This window comes from Homo sapiens, chromosome 12, assembly GCF_000001405.40.
Source record: "Homo sapiens chromosome 12, GRCh38.p14 Primary Assembly".
Lineage (NCBI taxonomy): Eukaryota > Metazoa > Chordata > Mammalia > Primates > Hominidae > Homo > Homo sapiens.
This window is the reverse complement of record NC_000012.12, coordinates 15,347,523-15,368,281: the sequence shown is the minus strand read 5'-3', so window position 1 is coordinate 15,368,281 and position 20,759 is coordinate 15,347,523. Positions and strand designations below refer to the sequence as shown.

The window sequence follows — 20,759 nt, the reverse complement described above, 5'->3', positions numbered from 1 at the left end:
AATATGGAGCATGGTGTGGTGGTGGTGAGGATGGGAATGCCAGATAGAGGGAAGAGCCAGGGCAAAGCCATGGGCCAGAGCAAGCCTGGCATGTTGGGGGAACAGCTAAAGGCTTGGCAGGAATGGAGTGAACCAGGTGTTAAGTAGGAGAACACGGAGGAGTCCAGACCCTGGCGAGTTTTGCAGCTTATTGTAGTGACATTTCCCCTGAATGGGAAGCGAAGCTACTAAACGGTTTTATTGAGAAATGTTTAGATGATTGATCCATGAATTGATTAAATGAGTAAAGTAAGCAGTCTTTATGGCCTCTTTAGTCACTCTGAGACCCAGAAAGGCATGAAGAGAAGGCACTATTGCCCAGGGCAGAGTAGAGCTATGACTCCCTTCACTCCAGGTGAGGCTTGGTGCAGGATGAAAGTTACGAGCATGGTGGTTATCCCAACAACAGCCCGTCAGGTCCATGGAGCAGTCTGTCCACTTCATTTCCTTTGGGGTGGGCATTGTGGGGTGTGACAGAAAGAGAGATGTCAAAGATGATTCACACTTTTTGACCTGATCAACTGGGAGGGTGGAGTTGTTACCAACTGAGATGGGGAAGACTACTGGAGAACAGGCTTGGCAAGAGAATTTGAGAAGCCCAGTTTCAGGTCTGTTACATTTGAGACATCTATTAGACATTTAAGTGGAGAACATAAGTATACAGTTGTATATGTGAATCTGGAGTTCCATGGGAAGCTCAGGTTGAAGATATTAATTTAGGAGTCTGAAAAAAATAGATATTACCCTCACTGTGGTCCCACTTTAGCCTTAGCTAAAGTCCATGACTCTACTAGCTAATTTGCTTTATTTATTCTTCTCAAGATTCTATTTTGCTGCATCTGAAATTTTGCTCACATTGTTCTGAAATCTTCTTCCCTCTTTTTTCCATTCATCAGGCTCATGCCAATTTTTAAACTCTTTCCTTTATGTAAGGGTTCCCTCAGTCATCCTAGACTGGGGATTTGTTTGTACCTTTTTGTAGTGCTTCTTATTATCTTGCACTGCTATTTGATTCTTGCTTCAGAAACGTTTGCCTATAAATTTTCTTACTTTGAAGGATGAGACTAAAGATTGTATGTATTTTCATCTTTCAGGAGCTTGGAACATTGCTTTGTCTAAAGTAGATGCTCAAAAATATGTATTAACTGTAGCTGTGATGACATTGTACTATACTTTAATAAATGATCATAACTTCCTTCTGTTTACTGCAATAGTGTTTATCTTGTTTGTGTTCCAGAGTTATTTTATTGTCTCCTTCATTAAATTTTGTTACTAATGAGTGACCTTTCATTTTTTTCCCTTGAGTACCTGTATTTTTTAATTGCAAAATCCTTGGTTGACTTGAAATAAATAGTTAATTGATTAATTAAAATAGTCAAATGACACTACCTGAATTCAGCATGTAGTCTTATACCTGATGTAGATTTGACATTTATTTGTTTATACCATCTCCTTCATCAGTTTATTGGTCACTGCATAGTTATTTACAGAACCTACACACAAACACACATTCCAACAGGTGAAGATGAAACATTTCAGCCAACAAACAATTATTTTTTCTCTAAGTATTAATAAAAACAAGTACACCTCAAACTCAAAAATAAGTATTAATATGGATTAGATATTATCTCAACTATACTACCCATTTCTTTTTAACAATATTTATTTACAGCTTTTGTCTAACTAAAATCTTCATTGAAATTCCTACAGGTATTTTACTAAATGTTGGTATGCATTAAGAAAAATGGAATTTGCAAGTTTGAACTATGCTTTTCAACAAGCAATCAAAACTTTAAATTTAGAATTCATTATTAAAAAGTGTCAAAGTTTAAACATTATGAATCAAAATCCTAACTTAGAATCTGCCATTACAATTTTCCCCCCCTCACTCAGCTAGGGCACCATATACCACTGGTAACTTAAGTATTAAATGTCATTGTAAAAGTTCAGAAAAAGACAAACAACAGCTTCTATAGTAAAGATTAGGCTAACAACTAGCAACCGAAAGTATTTCTACACTCTAATTAGATACAACTTATCTTCAGGGATACCATATGGAAATATCACAAGGAACAAAACAGAAAAACATGAATAAGTTTTTTTGTGATATTTGTCGCCTAGGAGCTGTGACTTCTGCTTTGAAGATGAGCATGACCTACTCATTATTATCTTGTGTTATATTGCACCTGGCTGGTTTTGGTCCTGCCAAGTTACTAAAGTCATTTTTCTGATGTACCTAATTGTGATATTCTACACTCTGTCAATTAGCTATAAATTACTTGAAGGCAGAAAATATGTTTGCTAGCAATGATTGCTCCAATCTCTAATGGGCCAGGATTCAGAATTAATATTATTCCTTACATATTTTTTATATTGCCTACCCAATAACAGCAAGCACTGCCCTTCATAGCCCTTTAGTGCAGGGATGGGTGTTCACTGACCCATCTTTAGACTCTGATTCTGCCTTTCTTTTATCACAAGCATGAACTTGCAAGAAAACTAATGGGGAGTGAAAAGGATTTTCCTTGTAGACAGAATGAAGAAAGAAGAACTAGTTTTTAAATACATTATGTCAGATAAATAAAAAGATGTTTTATATATCCAGAGAGGATTATCTATATCCATATCCAATATCCAGTAAAGTTTCTATAGCTAATGAAAAATTCAGACAATAGAGACTGGGCCTACATAAAACAAGTATTTCAATCTCTGTGTTGTAGGTTTAAATGATTCTAATGTTTCTTGGTCTTATCCTGTAATAAAAGGGAGTCATAAAATATACCCTTTATTGATTTTCTTTGCTACTACTGTGGAGATATATATATATATAAACATATATAGCCATTCCCCCAAAGGACCTAAACACATTTCAAACAGTAATATTCAAAAGAGTGAATGGTTTTTACTTTTTGAAAACAAAGTTTTCTATGCTTTTGTTTGAGTCTCACTTACATACATTGGACGATCATGTGGACTGGCCAAATATGGGAGAAAGAGGCAGGAAGGTAGGTGGAAGAAGTGGGAAGAGATCCAGACACCCAGAATGTAGGGTTCCTAAGGACCTCCACTGAATGGTCAGGGGATATGTCCAGCATAGCAAAATCAGTGTCATCAAAATTAGATTCCGCATTCTTGGCAAAAATTAGAAGAACATGGTCAAAGCTGGAGAAGTGATGCAGAAGGGGGACAAAGCCTAATTGTGAAAAGAAAAATGAGTCAAAATCAGAAGAAGAAACGATAAAGAATGAGTCAAACTAAAGAAAGCAAGAGATTTAGCAATCAACCCATTAAAAATGGCATTGTTTCTGGACCCAGGCCAGAAGTCTGACTGTAATGAACTGATATTAGAATAACAAAATTTGGTATATGAATTTCTTCAAGAAGCATGCTTGTGTTGTTCAATTAATGGGACCAGTGATTCCGGGATTCAGTGCTTTATAAATATGTACTACTCTCTTGCAGAACAAAATTATTTGATCTTTTCTAAATGTGTACAGGCCCTGCAAAATTCAGAGAAAGTTTTGGGGCAGGCATGTGTCACTGTTGCTATGACTTAAATCCTGCAAATCATCCCACCCCCTTTCTTGTCAAACAAGTTTAACTCCCCTGTGAGTTTAATTACAGTCAATAATCTGGATTGCTGGGCTGGTGTGTGGAATGCACATCTTTACTAATACAGAGGCTGCTTGTCACAGCGCTGCTCTGACCTGTCATGATATAGGAATAGAAAACTCTGCAATTACAATAAAGCAGACAGAAAGTTGATAAATGAGGTTTTGGATTACAGCATTTAGGAAACCACAAAAATCAATTACAGTAAATATTTCCAGAAAACCCACCTGACAGTCCTGTGAGAGTTTTTACTACAGTGATTTATTTGTAGAGAGAGAAGCCAAGAAAACCTGGGAAATTTACCAATTCTGTAATAATGAATATTCACAAAGATAATAATGACCTCTCTCCTTTACATGTGTTTAGAAGTTTAGTTTATTTTCTGGTAAATGTATCATGTTTCACTCTTTATGCTTTGAACTGAAGCCTCAAAATGTCTCGTACATCATATTCCTAGACTGAAGCCTCAAAATATTTTATACATCATATTCCTAGACCCTCTGTGATTTTTACATAGGTCCTATTTTCTTTCTCTATTACACAATGGTCAGTTGTTAATCTTTGTCAGAATTATGAAAGTAATCTAGATTTAACAAATGTGACATAAGTTAAATGGATAGTTCCACAACATAATTTCATTAAGCTACATCTTGTTTCACTTATTCATGTGTGGTATATATGCTAATTTTTAATATACATAATATTCTGATGCCAGCTAGTATCTAAGCTTTTACAAATTCTATAATAACAGAAACTGTTGGAGTTTTAGTACAACTAGTAAAAGGAAGATTATGTCAGCGTAGATCCTTTGATCTCTGCTTGAACAAATATTAAAATAACAGTGATAGCGTTTTTTTGCAAAGAGCTGTAAGTCCCTCGAATTCATATTATGTTGTATCAAACTAGGTTAGGTCTTCAATGATGAATGCTTTTACTTATGTACCATGTGCCACATTCTATTTTTTTTTTTAGTTAGATGAAACCACCAACTCATATTTAGCTTCTTATCAAATATAGCTTCTAAATTCTCTGGTGCTTAATTCAGTCTGTTGCCATTAAGTCCTATCTTCCCCACCCTGTATTTACTCACTTGGTTTCTTGGACTCAAGTATAGGACCTTACATTTATCCTTGATTACTTTCATCTTGTTTTCAGCTTATAGCTCTGGCCTATTAAAGTCTTTTTGAATTCAGATTCTGTCACCCAACATATTCATTATCTTTTAAATCTAAGCAAGTTGAAGGAGGTATGTTTAATTTGTAGCCCAGCCAGTGTTGCACAGCTGTTCTTCGAAAAATAGAGCATGATTAAACGTCATGTGGAGGAGAGGTAATTACTTTCTTTTGTCCCTGGAGAAGATGGTTTCAAAGTCTTGCAAAACTAAGGTATTGAGGAAGCTCAAAGAATTAATCTTCTAAATATTTACCTTCATTCCATATTCATTTCAAACCTTGTTCTATGTAGAAACTAAGCTCTGGTTTGTTTTGTTAAGAGAGTGCCAATTTTCCTCCCTAGACATACCCAAGGTCGGCACAGAAATTAAACTTCAGCCATCTTGAATTTACAGCTTATTTCTTCTTCATTTCCATCACATTTTGCAAGTGTTCCAAGATTAGTTTGAATTACTAAGTTTAAAAAGCTCAAGTAATAATAGAAAAAATATAATGTTTAAAAATATTTCAGCTGAAAATATTTTGGTGCACAAGTTTAGCTTTTCAAATTTGAAATTAGAAAGTTGTGGATCTATTAATCTGTAACAGCAAGAACACTTAACTTAGATTTACATTTCTTTAAAAAAAGGTTTCACACAATTTTATTAATACATTTGAATATGCATACTATAATATCGTTTTATTTTATTTTATTTATTTTGGAGCTTTACTGGATTTACACTACACTTCAAGCCACTTGGAGATTAGATCTTTTTTTTTGATGTGTGGGTTCATATTTTACTGGACCTATTTCATGTTCTTAATTCACTTTCTAATGAACTCAATAACTTCATAAACTCTACCATATAAGGAAGAGCATATAATAATAAGATACATTAACTGGAGAATATTTTCTGTAAATATTGTATCATATTTCCTATTTACTGTTTTCTCTATAAAGACCTGACATATTCAGAGTAAATCCAATACAAAACAATACTTAGATAAAATGTATTTAAAACATTAAGAAATAGATGAACTTGTAATAATGGAATTATATTGAACTTCTGAAAATCAAAGCAAATACAACACTTTTGGACAAAACCTGACATGTAGCTCTGATGTATTTGGCCAGGAATAACACGCAGGGACTCAACACCCAATTCCCTACTTATTTTCCAACCAGAGTTACACTTCAATTGCATTGCCTTCTCAGTAGTTGCTGGTGGCTTTTATAGTTCCTGGTGAATCCAGAGTCCTGAATGACTTTCAGTGATGCATGAGAAGCTTGAAGAATGGGATTCAATAGCAGTATGTGCTTCAGCAATGGCAACATCCCCTTAAATGCTGTTTATGGGTTAGTTTGTGCTAACCAGCAATGCAATACCGGAGGAGTTTGATATGAGAATGGAGAGAAGGAGGAGAATTTATTCTCCTCCACACAGAAATTTATTGTAGGTCCGATCTATGATTTGGACACTGTAGTTCATGTACAGTGTCTGTCTACAGTTAGTATTACTGTGCACAAAATTAGCCTGGAAAGCTGACAAGTCTAAACTAAGATATAAGACATTTCTCCATTTCCATTGCAAATAATTTAATTTATAACATGAATTAAAATCACATTAAATGAACTTTAAGGTTCTTGTACACAATAGTTTGATTTAATGTTGCATATTAGAGGCTAAATAGAAATTAAAATGCAGCATAACATTTGCATTGTAATAAAACTTTGCTGATTCTTTTTGTACATTTGCCAAACGTCCACATAACTAACTCAATTTTAAAATTCATTCATTCATTTAGTCATTCTGCTCTTCCGCAAACTAAACGCACTGCTGAATGTAGTAAGCACTTGGTAACATTTATTTGACAGATCAGGATATTGTTTTCTGTGGCCAATTCAAGGTTCATTAACAGAACACTGTTAATGACCCTTGGTCAAATAAGCCCTATTCTTCTATTGATACACTAGGTGTTGGATACATGTTCTGAATTTCTTTGTTTTTTCTTTTTCTTTCTTTTTTTTTTTTTTTTTTTTGAGACTGAGTCTCACTCTGTCGCCCAGGCTGGAGTGCAGTAGTGAAATCTCGGCTCACTGCAACCTTCGCCTCCCAGGTTCAAGCGATTCTCCTGTCTCAGCTTCCCGAGTAGTTGAGATTACAGGCATGAGCCACTACGCCAGGCTAATTTTTGTTGTATTTTTAGTAAAGATGGGTTTTCACCATGCTGGCCAGGCTGGTCTTGATCTCCTAACCTCGTGATCTGCCTGCCTTGGCCTCCCAAAGTGCTGGGATTACAGACGTGAGCCACCACGCCCGACCCATGTTCTGAATTTCTGCAGCAAGTGATTCTTGAGCTATTTATTAAATATTTATCATAATTTCTCTTATACTGGTATATGTTTCAATATATACAAATTTTCTCTTATATTTGTATATGTTTAAACATATACCTATATGTTTATAAGTTAAAACACACACACACTATGTGTGTGTATATATACGTGTGTATATATGTGTGTGTATATACACGTGTGTATATATGTGTGTGTATATACATGTGTGTATATATGTGTGTGTATATACACATGTGTATGTGTGTATATACACACATATATACACACACATATATACACACGTATATATATACACACACATATATACACACGTATATATACACACATATACACACATATATACACACGTATATATACACACATATACACACACATAGTGTGTGTGTTTTAACTTATAAACATATAGGTATATGTTTAAACACATATAAATATAAGAGAAAATTTGTATATTTGATTTAGTATCTCTATATGTATATATATACACACACACATATATATATAGAGAGAGAGAGAGAAAGAGAGATACTAAATCAATCACAGACTGTTTAAATTCAGGTGGCTCAAACCGTACTTGGGTGCTGAGTCCCTATGCATTATTCTTGGCTTTTTGTTGTTGTTCCTGCATGGCACTTGGGGACAGGACTTAGACCAGAAAATTTCACTATGTTTTATTGTCATGGATATTCATTATGATTATATTTTATTTTTATTCTTTTACAGCGGAGACAGAGTGTATCACTATATGCTTTGAAAATGTATTTTCTACTTATAATCAGAGATGTTAGATCATTAGTCTCAGGTCACTCTTCTTGTGTTCTTATATTTTCTGAACACCTACAATTTGTCAGACACAGCTTTAGGTGCTAAGAAGATAATAGTGAGCCACACTGATAAGCTCCTTTCCTGATGAAACTCATATTTTAATGTAAAAATGCAAGTAAGTAAAACAATTCCAGCTTGCGATACATTTTAAGAAGGGTAAAAACGTGATGCTGGGGAATTTGAAAAGCACAATAGAGGGAAGGGCCCACATTTGATGGTATAATTAGGAATAATCTCTGCGATAAGTTGATTTTTAAATGGTGGCTTGAAAGATAAAGAAAATAGAGCTAACCACTTGGGCTGAAGAACACTTGAGACATAGGAAAAGCAAAGGCTCTGGGTGAGGAAAATGCTTGGGGAATTTTAGGAACTATCTGAAGGTCCCTGTTGTTGGAACAAAGCTGAGTGGGCTGTTCAAGATAAGATTAGAAAGATAGAAAGACAAACTACATGAACTGAGAAGAAAGTCCTAGAGAGATGCTGAACACATAATTAACATTAAAAAACCAATTTTTCTTTAGTAAGTCAACAAAAACAAACTTGAAAAACATGACAGAAAAATAGATCCAATGGCCTGGTGCGGTGGCTCTTGCCTGTAATTCCAGCACTTTGGGAGGCCCAGGCAGGTGGATCACTTGATCCGCACACAAGAGTTTGTTCAAGACCAGCCTGGCCAATATGGTGAAACTCCATCTCTACTAAAAATACTAAATAAATAAATAAATAAAATTAGCTAGGCGTGGTGGTGGGTGCCTGTAGTTCCAGCTACTTGGGAGGCCAAGGTAGGAGAATCACTTGATCCCAGGAGATCACGCCACTGCACTCCAGCCCTGCCGACAGAGTGAGACTCCATCTCAAAAAAAAAAAAAAAAAAAAGGAAAGAGAAAGAAAAGTAGACCAATGCACAAGAGTAAACAAACCTTTATAATATCTGAAAATGAATCTAATAAGGGCATTAAAATCAATAAAACAATAATGAAAGGTATAAAACAATGTCTGAATAAATGGGGATATCATCTGTACTCATACATGGGTAAGAATCAATATTACTATAACTCTTAATTACCCCTCCTCCCCCAAATCTATAGTTTAAAATACAATTTGCATTTAGTGGTCTACAAAGTGAGGTACTCTTTTAGAAACAGCAGGTCTGATCATCTGGAAAATACAAGGTGATCTTGAATGTCACTTATATCAAACTTGCTTTTCAGCATAGCCCAGTTCCAACTGAGGTTTTATTTTACAGAATTAGACCAAATTCTGGATGCATGTAAAATTCAAGTTTGAGTGCACAATTATGTAAACTGTACATGCCTTGATCATTTTGGACTCATTCCATAAAATATAAAAAGCAGGAGGAAACAAAAGTGATGTAAAAATGCCAAGGATCTTTTGGAAGGTTCATGTACACTGTGCTTAGAATCCTTAGCAGATGTAACTAAAACTGAACAGAAGTTCTGACAGTGACAAACTTTCGATGTTGGCCTGGGATTTGTACCTGCCACTGACAACTTCTGTTCACATTTTATCAGCAACATCTGTTACATTAAATAACAGGTAAAACATACAATGAAGTGAGGCACAGAGCATACAATATCAACAGTTGGGAATGCTGGGTTTGTCTTCTATCTTTGCTTAAGCTACTGTGAGATCTTGGACACTTCATGTAACACAGAATTTCTTCATCTGTAAAACTTAGAAACTAGATTAGAGAGTCTCCAGGATCCAAAGCCTGACTGAACAGAGCTGGCTGTCTGCAGCAGGAAGAATATCAGGTCGTGGTTGAAGGTCTGCCTGAAATGCATAGAGACGTGGGGGAGTTAGGTAGGAGTAGGGATGGAATTGAATAGTTGTCTTCATCAAAATCCGGAAAATTAGGCTCAGGAATGCATAGATCATCTTTTTTATTATTATTATCATACTTTAAGTTTTAGGGTACATGTGCACAATGTGCAGGTTAGTTACATATGTATACATGTGCCATGCTGGTGTGCTGCACCCATTAACTCGTCATTTAGCATTAGGTATATCTCCTAATGCTATCCCTCCCCCCTCCCCCCACCCCATGACAGGCCCCAGAGTGTGATGTTCTCCTTCCTGTGTCCATGTGTTCTCATTGGTCAATTCCCACCTATGAGAACATGAGAGTGTTTGGTTTTTTGTCCTTGCGATAGTTTACTGAGAATGATGATTTCCAATTTCATCCATGTCCCTACAAAGGAAATGAACTCATCATTTTTTATGCCAGCATAGTATTCCATGGTGTATATGTGCCACATTTTCTTAATCCAGTCTATCATTGTTGGACATTTGGGTTGGTTCCAAGTCTTTGCTATTGTGAATAGTGACGCAATAAACATACGTGTGCATGTGTCTTTATAGCAGCATGATTTATAGTCCTTTGGGTATATACCCAGTAATGGGATGGCTGGGTCAAATGGTATTTCTAGTTCTAGATCCCTGAGGAATCACCACACTGACTTCCACAATGGTTGAACTAGTTTACAGTCCCACCAACAGTGTAAAAGTGTTCCTATTTCTCCACATCCTCTCCAGCACCTGTTGTTTCCTGACTTTTTAATGATTGCCATTCTAAGTGGTGTGAGATGGTATCTCACTGTGGTTTTGATTTGCATTTCTCTGATGGCCAGTGATGGTGAGCATTTTTTCATGTGTTTTTTGGCTGCATAAATGTCTTCTTTTGAGAAGTGTCTGTTCATGTCCTTTGCCCACTTTTTGATGGGGTTGTTTGTTTTTTTCTTGTAAATTTGTTTGAGTTCATTGTAGATTCTGGATATAACTAAACAATTTCTATGACTGTTCCACTTTCCTTTACACAGAGAAAACCCACAATGAACATCTGCTGATTTGAAAATATTTTCTTAAAGTTCATTTCTATTTCATTCAAACCATTCAGCATACTGAAATGAATCAGTCAAGTTATTGAACACATGACGTAGTGGGGCAAAGGGAGAATGAGTAGAATGAGTGGAAGAAGTCCCTTGAGCACAATCTGAAACAATCACCTGCAGCCATCAGTTGCTGGGAAATGACAGTAGCAGTCAGAATACTTTGGCATGCAGTAATTAGAGATGGAGAGGCATAATTTCAACTAACATGTTCTATTATTAGTGTATTTCAGCAGCAGAGCTGCTAAGAGAACAAAGGCAATAGTCTGTCTGCTTATACCGAATTACTTGAAGCAGCAGGACCTGTTTATACCCTGCTCTAAGCCAGTGTTCACACCACATGCATGGCACAAAACTGCTGTCACCAAGGTGACAGCCACCCCCACAGTGGCTGCGTGCAGGGATAGACAATAGAATGAAGGCAACAAGGCAGCTGAAAACAGCAATTATCTACAGCATTGACCGTGACCCCTTAAGCCTCCCTAGCCAATACCACACCCCCTACCTGTCTACCATAGCACAGAAAGGAGAAAAGATGTATAATAAAAAGGTGATTAAAAAATAGTTATAGAGGAGAAAAATAAAAAGAAAAGGAATAACATTTCTGAGCAATCACTATATTTAAAATTTAAACATTGATGATCCTATTTCATCCATATAAAGAAATGAACTGATTTTCAGAAAGGTTAAGTTCTCTGCTCAGAGTTACAATGAATATAAAATATGTTTGATGGAAAGCCCAATGAACATTCTGCTATACTATTCAGCCATTAAAGGTAGAAGAGAAAAGGGGAAGAAGAAGAGAACAATGTCCCAAATAATGAAGTGCTGCTCCATTTCTCTTTCATACTATGTCATAAGTATCAACACCTAGAGGGGAATGAACCCCAGGACTCAGAGCTACCCACCCCTCCATTTATAGGCATTACTATGTGTTATCAAAACAGAAAAATCAGCAAATATGAGATATTTTGTCTTCATTATTATTAGAGCATCTAGGGAAAAAAATCAGAATTGGGAGTGACTTCTTTGCACAGAATGGAGAGGAAAATTGGGAGAAATAATTTAATTCTTAAAGGTATCTCTAGAAAATTCACTTATGTAGAGCATTTCTTGCTCCAAGACAAAAATCACATGTATGAAGTATTATTGTATATAATGTTCAATATCAAATGGTTATTATGTGCCATGATTTCTCTAAATATGTTGCAGGATTATATTTAAATTTTCTTTGGCTGATTAAAATTCTGAAATTTAATTTTATTTTAGTTGCTAGTAACATCTATACAATTTGGACACCAAAAAATAAAAGGCTACTTATTAATTCAATGAGTCTCTGAGCAACATTTTTGCCCACAACAATCTCAGGCAACACTCCAGTCACAACTTACGCCTGTCATTTTCTGTAATTAAAAGTACACAGTCATATTTATGCATTCTGCCTCCTAGCAGCTGCAGTTAGATTAACTGTGAACAAAGAAAACATTTTGACACAGTTAATTATATGGCTGTTCTCCTTTGCTAGCAAATACCAGCTACCTCCTCAAACGAATAGATACTTTTTTGTTATTTTTCTTTTACACAATAATAGAAATAGCCATAAAAACTTTAGTTTATACTTACAAAGATGTTTAACCCTATCAATTTAGTTCAATAAACATTAAAACTGTCTGGAAACTTAATGAAGACACAGGAATATCACATTAAAATGGTTTGATTAAAGTGCTCTATTTTGGGGGGCAAAATTTCAAGCATTTCCTTTTCATTTCAGATGAGGAGAAAGAAATAGAATTTAGTTTCACCTCTGCAATAGATTAGATATTAAAGTTAATCTCCACATGTCTCATCTTGTGTGTGAAGGCCAACACTGCTTTTCAGGAAAGGCCTCACCAAGCATTGCATTTACATGCTGGAAGGGTTTTCTTCATAGTGGGAACTAAAATTGCCCAGCAAAACTGGGTTTTTCAGTGTAGAGAGGGAAAATTTGCAGCCAAGGCACCTGACTAAGGCCATGAAATGAACATGGCAATCAGTGGAAGAGGACACCCATGCTCTAGTTTATTACATGAAATCCCAAACAAACCTGGGACTAAGGAGGGAAAGGTCATTTCTGATCACTATTTTTAGTCCTTTGTAGGGGAAGATTTTGGGGAGTAAAAGAGCAATAACTGAGGAACAGATATTCAACCCAACCTTTAAGAGACCTGTGTCAGATAAGAGCATTGCAAAGACACATAGGGAAATGCCACCAATGTGAGCCGTAGTGGTCTTACTTTCTAAATTCATCTTAATCGGTGTGATTCTGTCTTCCTTTCTCTCTCTCTTCATCCTCCCTCTCCCAAATTCCTTTACTACTCAAAATTTCAAAAATAATAGAACAAAGAAGATAGGTATAAACCAGGGGAAAATGTATTGGGGGGAAATGCAGAATGGTGCTTGTAACTAAATGCACAGAGGATTTGGGTCTTTAGGGACCTTTTATAAAATACGGTAAAAATATACAACAGTGCACTGACATTTACTTAGTGGTTATTAGAATGAGCTTTGGAATCAAACTCATTTGCTTGGTTATTTCATAGCCCTAAGCCTTGTTTTTGTCATTTGTAAAACGGGGTTGTCTTTGTCTCACAAGGCTGTTGTGAGTATCCAGAAAGACCATGTATATACGGTGCTTATTATACCATATAACAAACCTTTTTTATATGGCTCCTTTTATTACATGCAGTAAGAAACAAATGCACACCTTAAAGTAGAAGAAAAACAAGCAGTCAAATAAATGCTTAGTGATTCTCTTAGATGAGTGAAGCTACTTAAATCTTAACATTTTTTAGATTTATGATGGAAAAGAGGTCTTTGAAAAGTTCATGGAAAATGCATTTATGAGAAAACTATAGATGGATTTCAAAAACTTTTTGCACCAAAATAAACTCTTACTAACTTATTATAATGTGTATAAATACAATCTAGTTTGAAGCACTAAGAAAGATAAGGCATCCATTTGAAAAGACCCCCTGTGAAAGCAACATGAATTCTGCTAAAATTAAGGCAAGAACAAACATCACATTTATGGTGAAGCTTCAGTGGAAGAACGGTGAAATCACTGATGCTTTATAAAAAGTTTATGGGGACAATGCCACAAAGAAATCAGTTTACAAATGGATGACTCATTTTAAGAAGGAATGAGACAATGTTTAAGATGCAGCCCATTGTGGCAGACCATCTACATCAATTTGTGTAGAAAAATTTAACCTTGTTAATGCCCTTTTTTAAAAAAAAATTTAGTGCCCTATTTGAGGAGGACCAACAGTTAACAGCACAAACAATAGCCAACACCATAGACATCTTAGTTTGTTCAGCTTACACAGCTCTGACTGAAAAAAATTGAACAAACTTTCCACTTGATGGATGCCAAAACCAGTGAGCCCAGATCAGCTGCAGACAAGAGCATAGCTTTTATGGAAACGAGTGGGATGAAGACCCTGAAGCATTCCTTTGAAGAATTGTAACCGGAGATGAAACATGGCTTTACTAGTATGATCCTGAAAACAAAGCAGAATCAAAGTAATGGCTACCAAGAGGTGGAAATGGTACAATCAAAGCAAAAGTGGACTAGTCAAAGGCAATGGTCATGGCAACAATTTTTTGGAATGCTCAGAGCATGTTGCTTGTTGACATACCAGATAGCCAAAGAACAATAGCATCTGCCTATTATGAGTGTTTTGAGAGTTAACCAAAGCCTTTGAGGAAAAATGCCCAGGAAAGCTTCATCATGACAATGCTTCTCCACCACAACAATGCTTCTGCTCATGCCTCTCATCAAACAAGGGCAATATTGTGAGAATATCAGTGGGAATTCGTTAGACATCCAACTTATCGTCCTGATTTGGCTCATTCTGACTTCTTTTTGTTTCTGAATGTTAAAAAAATCTGTAAAGGGTATCCATTGTTCCTCACTTAATAATGTAAAAAAAAAAACTGCATCAACATGGTTAAATTCTTAGGAGCCTCAGTTCTTTAGGGACAGACTAAATGGCTGGTATCATAATTTATAATAAGTGTCTTGAACTTGATGATATGTTGAAAAACAAGTTCATCTTTTTAATTTTTATCTTTAATTCCATTTGTCCTTGAACTTTTTGAAGTCCTCTTACGTGTGTGTGGTGGGTAGGGTGGGGTAGATGAGTGGGTAGGTGGGTGTATGTGTTTTCATGTGTGGTAAGGGGGACTTCTATGTCTAATGGATATTGTAACCTGCACATAAATGGGAGTTATAAGGTGAATGTCTGGAAAATCAGTTATTACATGTGAGGAAACACTCACTGGTAATGATGCAAGAAATCAGTCCCTGCTGAAGGCAATTTCTTCAACAATTAAATTAAATTCCTCAGGCAGTAGATAACTTATTCCTAAGACATATTTTCCGGATGATTAATGGGAATCTACTGCATGATATATTGACATATAAGACATGTATTTTCTGGGTAATTGATGGGAATGTACTGTACAATAAACTGTTAAGGTTTTGCATAGATTCATTGCTATGCCAAATAGATGTAACTAAAGGCTGTTTATGTAAGCTATTCTTCCAATTCGTGTGTATCAAGGCTGAATCACATTCTCCTAATTTTAGGATGGCCCACACATCCTAAATTGTGAAATCCAAATTTCACAATGGCAGAAGACCCATTTCCCTAGAACTTTCCCATTTCTTTCTTTCTTTCTTTTTTTTTTTTTTTTTTTGAGACAGAGTCTTGCTCTGTCGCCCAGGCTGGAGTGCAGTGGTGCGATCCCGGCTCACTGCAAGCTCGCCTCCCGAGTTCACACCATTCTCCTGCCTCAGCCTCCTGAGTAGCTGGGACTACAGGCGCCTGCCACCACACCCGGCTAATTCTTTGTATTTTTTAGTAGAGATGGGGTTTCACCGTGTTAGCCAAGATGGTCTAGATCTCCTGACCTCGTGATCCGCCCACCTTGGCCTCCCAAAGTACTGGGGTTACAGGCTTGAGCCACCACGCCTGGCTGAAAACCTTCCCATTTCTTTAAGTCTCTTCCTTTACACTTTCATTCTTGGTATTCACTTATTTGAAAATAGTGCCTTCCTGGCTACCAATTATGAACAGTTCCTGACTTTCTCTAAAAATGTCAATCAAATAATTTGGGCAGAACCGATGTAATGATGGCTGGTCAAGTGTAATGCACCTTGTAACACAGTCTGCCTGTCACTGGATCCATTACCAGAGCTACATGCTGGGCGCAGACTCCATCAGGGCACCACACTGGGCAACAGCCAAGAGTCAAGATAATGAGGTGCTTCCTCAAAGTGCATCCACAAAGAGGGTCCTCCACTGGCTTCCTCTTTCCCAACAGAGCAGAGACATGGAGACATTATGTGTTTGCATTGTCTAGTATAATCTTCCTGCCTATCTTCTTGGTGTGAAGAGCATCCACAGTTATTGCAAATCACATGTTTTTCCTGAGGTTATTTATTTAGGAAAGTTTCAGTATATACAAAGATGGTGAAATCTGAGTGTTTGCACGCAATAAAAAAATACATTTTGGCAGAGAAAATCTCTAGAGTGAATGAAGGAGCAATGTTTTTTTGTTAAATCCCTATAGGTTACCAGTTATTAGAGATTCAACTCCAACCAGTTTAAGAATAAAGGGATTAATTTTTTGTTCATAGTGGGAAAATTCAGTAAGGCATGGCTAGATCCAGGGATTTAAATATTATAAAAATGTTTTCTCCTCTACCTTCTTTACTTTCCTCCCTGTTGGCTTCATTACCTGCAGTTTTTCTCTAAGTGGTACAAAACTGGCCCCCAAAGCTAAAAGACTTTGTATCCTTTAATCTCCTGACCTCGGAAGGAGAGTCTGTTTCCCTGTTCCATATAATCTTTGAAATATCATATGCTGGTTGTCTCTCCTTGGTTAATAGGCCTTTTGTTTTCAAGAGGACTGGATACACTGATTGCCTAGCCTGACATGTACACTTACAGGGAGGCAGGAGTCTTGCTGACAGCCCCACTAAAATCACTTAAACTAGAGAAAGAGCAATTCCTATAAGAAGAATAAAAGTACATATTAATGACAGGTTTCAAATATTCTCTGGAATATGTCATCTGTAAATTAAATATTGGACTTAATAATTTTACGTGTGTAAAAGTTGTTTCATGGCATCTTTTGCTTTTATTTCAAGGACGACTGTGAAGCCAAGCTGTTAGTCGGCATCCTGGGAACGGCAGCACACTTACAGAAAACTATTTTGTCAAGTTTTTGAATCCAAAAACTTGTATGGTCTCTGTTTCTCCAAGTCCGCCATACAGTTGATTCTATGCAAGAAAAACCCATTGCTGCCAGTAGTTTCTCAAGTTTCCATTTTGTTTTTCAAGGCCAAGATAAAGAGGGGAGGGAAAAAAAAGAAAATAAATCAAGAACTCTTCTTCTAAAAGCACATGTGCTAAGAGATCCAGTTCTGAAGTTGTCATAGTGAGCAAAAGAATGCCAAGCCTTGCAGCTCAGTGGGCCAAATTCTGTTCTCAGCCACATGTCCGCAGCTTCCACTGATATCAATGGGAGTTGTGTGTATATGTGAACTGAGGACAGAAGTTGGCTGTGTATAAATAGCTCTGCAATGGTGAAAATCTCTTCTTGTGCATCTGGTACAACAGAGGTAGTCTTTTGCAGTTAGTGGCTGCTTCCCTTTCTAGTAAAGTAACCAGGCAGTTTCAAGAATTCCTGTATCAGAATATTTGATAGCAATTATTTTGTCTAGAAGATTTCAGTCAGGGGTACAGGGAGCAGTATTTGCCCTAAACTTCTCTCATTTTCCAATAGCAAATTCAAGACAGATTTAACAATCAGTTGCAACACCAGCCTTCACTGTTCCTTGGCTGAGCTGTCTATCTGCTAATTGACTGATTGATATGCAGCTAATTGGGGGGTAGGGTGGGAAGTCAGTATGCTCATTAAGCAGTTAAAAACAGTGTCTAAAGCAAAGTATTTACTTTCAGACTGGCTGTTAATGCAGCAGAGCTGTATGACATAGTAGGTCTTCCACGGGAACAAGGTTCTGACCTCATCAAGCAGGACACAGACAAAGCCCTTGGCACTGTCAGTTTGCCATTTTGCCAGCACCCCCAGTCTGGTAGTCAGCGTTGGTGTTAGGCTGAGCCATCTTTTCAGGGAGTCTCAGATGAAAGTTTCTTTCAGAGCACAGATAAGGATAGATTCTTTCACTATTCATTAGAAACAGGAGATTTCTCCAACATTTATATATGAAGGGTTCCAGACCATGAAAGTTACCTACAGGTAGATGATTTTCAAATCCTTCTCTTCAGTCCATGTCCCAATTCTAAATTCCAGACTGGCTTCTGGGCATCTCTACCTGGCTATCCAATACACACCTTAAATTCATCCGAAGCTTAACTTTTATTCCTGACTCAGAAAGTGTCTTCTACTTTGGTCCCTATCTTAGCTGGAACTCCTTTCCCCTAGAACTCAAATCCAAAAACTATCAGTAAGCTACAATTCCTCTCTTTCCCTTGTCCTACGTGTAATCAATAATAAGCTTAGTTAATTTTACCTATTAAATCTCTCTCTTTCTGTCTTCTTATATTGATTCCCTGTTCCTGCCATGGTAGAGTGAATTAAAGCACAGGCTTTAATGTGATTAACAACTGGGTTTGAATCCTACTTTTGTTAGCTTTTTGTGGGGTATTTCTTTTTTAAGGGCACATTTGTGTAAACTTTGGTTTCTTTGTGAGATGGAATGGCATCTGCTTTGCAGAGCTAACTAACAGAGACTAAATGGAATTATATATGTAAAGTGTTGTTATAGTTGCTGACACATAGCCAAGTTCCAATAAATGGGGGCTATTATAAAACAGAGACCTCATCCTTTCTTACTCAGCCTATGGTAGTAGTCTCTGCATACAGTGTTGCCCCTCTTCCATTCCCCATTTGCAGCTGGAGCAAACTTTCTAGATGCAAATTATTCCATATTATACATCCAAATACATTTTGTGGGACAAACAAGTCCTCATGTCACTCATTCTTCTATCACTCATCCATCTCCAATTGCACTCCTTCTTAGCTTAACATGGTACTAAATCGTACCCCCATCTAGCCAATTGGAAAACTAGTATTTATTACTTAAGGACCCATCTTAAAATGGTTTGTTCTCTGAAATTTTCCCTGATCCCACTCCAAATAGATTTAACACCTTCCTTAATTCCATCACTATTTCTTGAAGTATAAAACTTATATACATCTACTATAAGTTTTATTATACTGTATCGGTATTACTTGTTCCATAAATCTGTTTTGCAGGTCAGACTATTCTATGGTCTTTAAAAATGCCATAAAAAAGAGACATTAATTAAGAATAGCTCTTTATTGTTCTCTCCCAAGCATTTAGCCCAGTGCTGCATTAGTTTTCTACTGCTGCTCCAACAAATTTATACAAATATAATGACTTGAAACAGATGTATTATCCTACAATTCTATAGGTCAGAAGTCTGGCATGGGTCTCACTGGGCTAAAATCAAGGTGTCAGAAGAAGAGTTGTGTTCCTTTCTAGGGGCTCTATAATTTTTTTTTTTTTTTGAGACGGAGTCTCGCTGTCGCCCAGGGTGGAATGCAGTGGCGCGAGCTCGGCTCACGGCAGGCTCCGCCCCCCGGGGTTCACGTCATTCTCCTGCGTCAGCCTCCCGAGTATCTGGGACTACGGGCGCCCGCCACCACGCCCGGTTAATTTTTTTGTATTTTTAGTAGAGACGGGGTTTCACTGTGTTTTTAGTAGAGACGGGGTTTCACTGTGTTAGCCAGGATGGTCTCGATCTCCTGACCTCGTGATCCGCCCGCCTCGGCCTCCCAAAGTGCTGGGATTACAGGCGTCAGCCACCGCGCCCGGCCTATAATTTTTTTTTTTAACTCCTTCACTGTTGTTGGCAGAATTTAGTTTCTTCCTGTTACAAGGATTGAGGTCGCCATTTCCTTGCTGGTAGTCACCTGAGGACTGTTCCCAGATTCTAGAGACTGCCTGCATACCTTGGCTTATCACCTTCCACTGCCTGCATACCTTGGCTTATGCCCTTTCTCCTGCATCTTCCAAGCCAGCAATGGTAGGGTGAGTCTCTCTGTGGCCGTTTCCCTGACCTAGTCTTTTACCTTCCTCTTCTAGTTTTAAGGAACTAGGTGATTGGAGAGCCCAGCTAGAAATTCCAGAATAATCTTGCTGTTGTAAGGTCCTTAATCTTAATCCGATCAGCAAAGTCTCTTTTGTCATATAAGAAAACACATTTACAGCTTCCACAGTTACGGTTAGGGTTAGGGTATGGTCATCTTTTGGGATGCATTATTTTTCCTATCAGCAGAGCCTAGCATATTTTAGATGATCTATAAATAATGCTTGTTGAAAAAAAATGTATGCAGATGATATTAAGTATGTCTGTCTTTTAAGTATATTAGACTATGTTTAGGGCCATAGGTAAATTGTATAATCTGGTATTCTCATCTGATTTATTTGTCATAACTTTTCATAAGTGTTATTTTTTCTAGATCTCTGCCCTGCATGGGGCCATGCAAATGAATTGTAACTAAATAGACCAGATGAATTTTCTATGACCTCCAATTTATCATATATTATCAACATTAGTAAAGGCTACAGAAAACTACTAAGAGTCTCTGGTTCAGTCCTTTTTTGTTAATACTTGCAGAAAAATTTATCTTTTGTATACAAATACAAGCTCATACATTCATTCTAAAACTATCTGAGTGTCTGTATGTGCCAAGGTTTGTGAAACGTGGTAGGTAAAGAGTGGTGAATTAAACATGGTCCCTCCCTTAGAAGGCTTACAGAGTAACAGA

At 37.0% G+C, this 20,759-nt stretch overlaps 1 protein-coding gene and 1 long non-coding RNA gene across 10 annotated transcripts in view; one reads left to right on the top strand and one right to left on the bottom strand.

Annotated features, from left to right (window-relative positions):
• PTPRO (protein tyrosine phosphatase receptor type O) overlaps positions 1-20,759 on the bottom strand; it is a 275,824-nt gene that overhangs the window by 230,050 nt on the left and 25,015 nt on the right. The window lies entirely within an intron of this gene.
• Positions 19,577-20,759, top strand: part of LOC105369673 (uncharacterized) — a 79,767-nt gene continuing 78,584 nt past the window's right edge. The window contains exon 1 of one of the 5 annotated variants that reach the window (XR_001749021.2): positions 19,577-20,019. This is a non-coding gene — a long non-coding RNA (uncharacterized LOC105369673). The remainder of the gene's footprint in view (positions 20,020-20,759) is intronic. The other 4 variants (XR_007063226.1, XR_001749023.2, XR_007063225.1 and 1 more) reach the window with 4 other exon arrangements.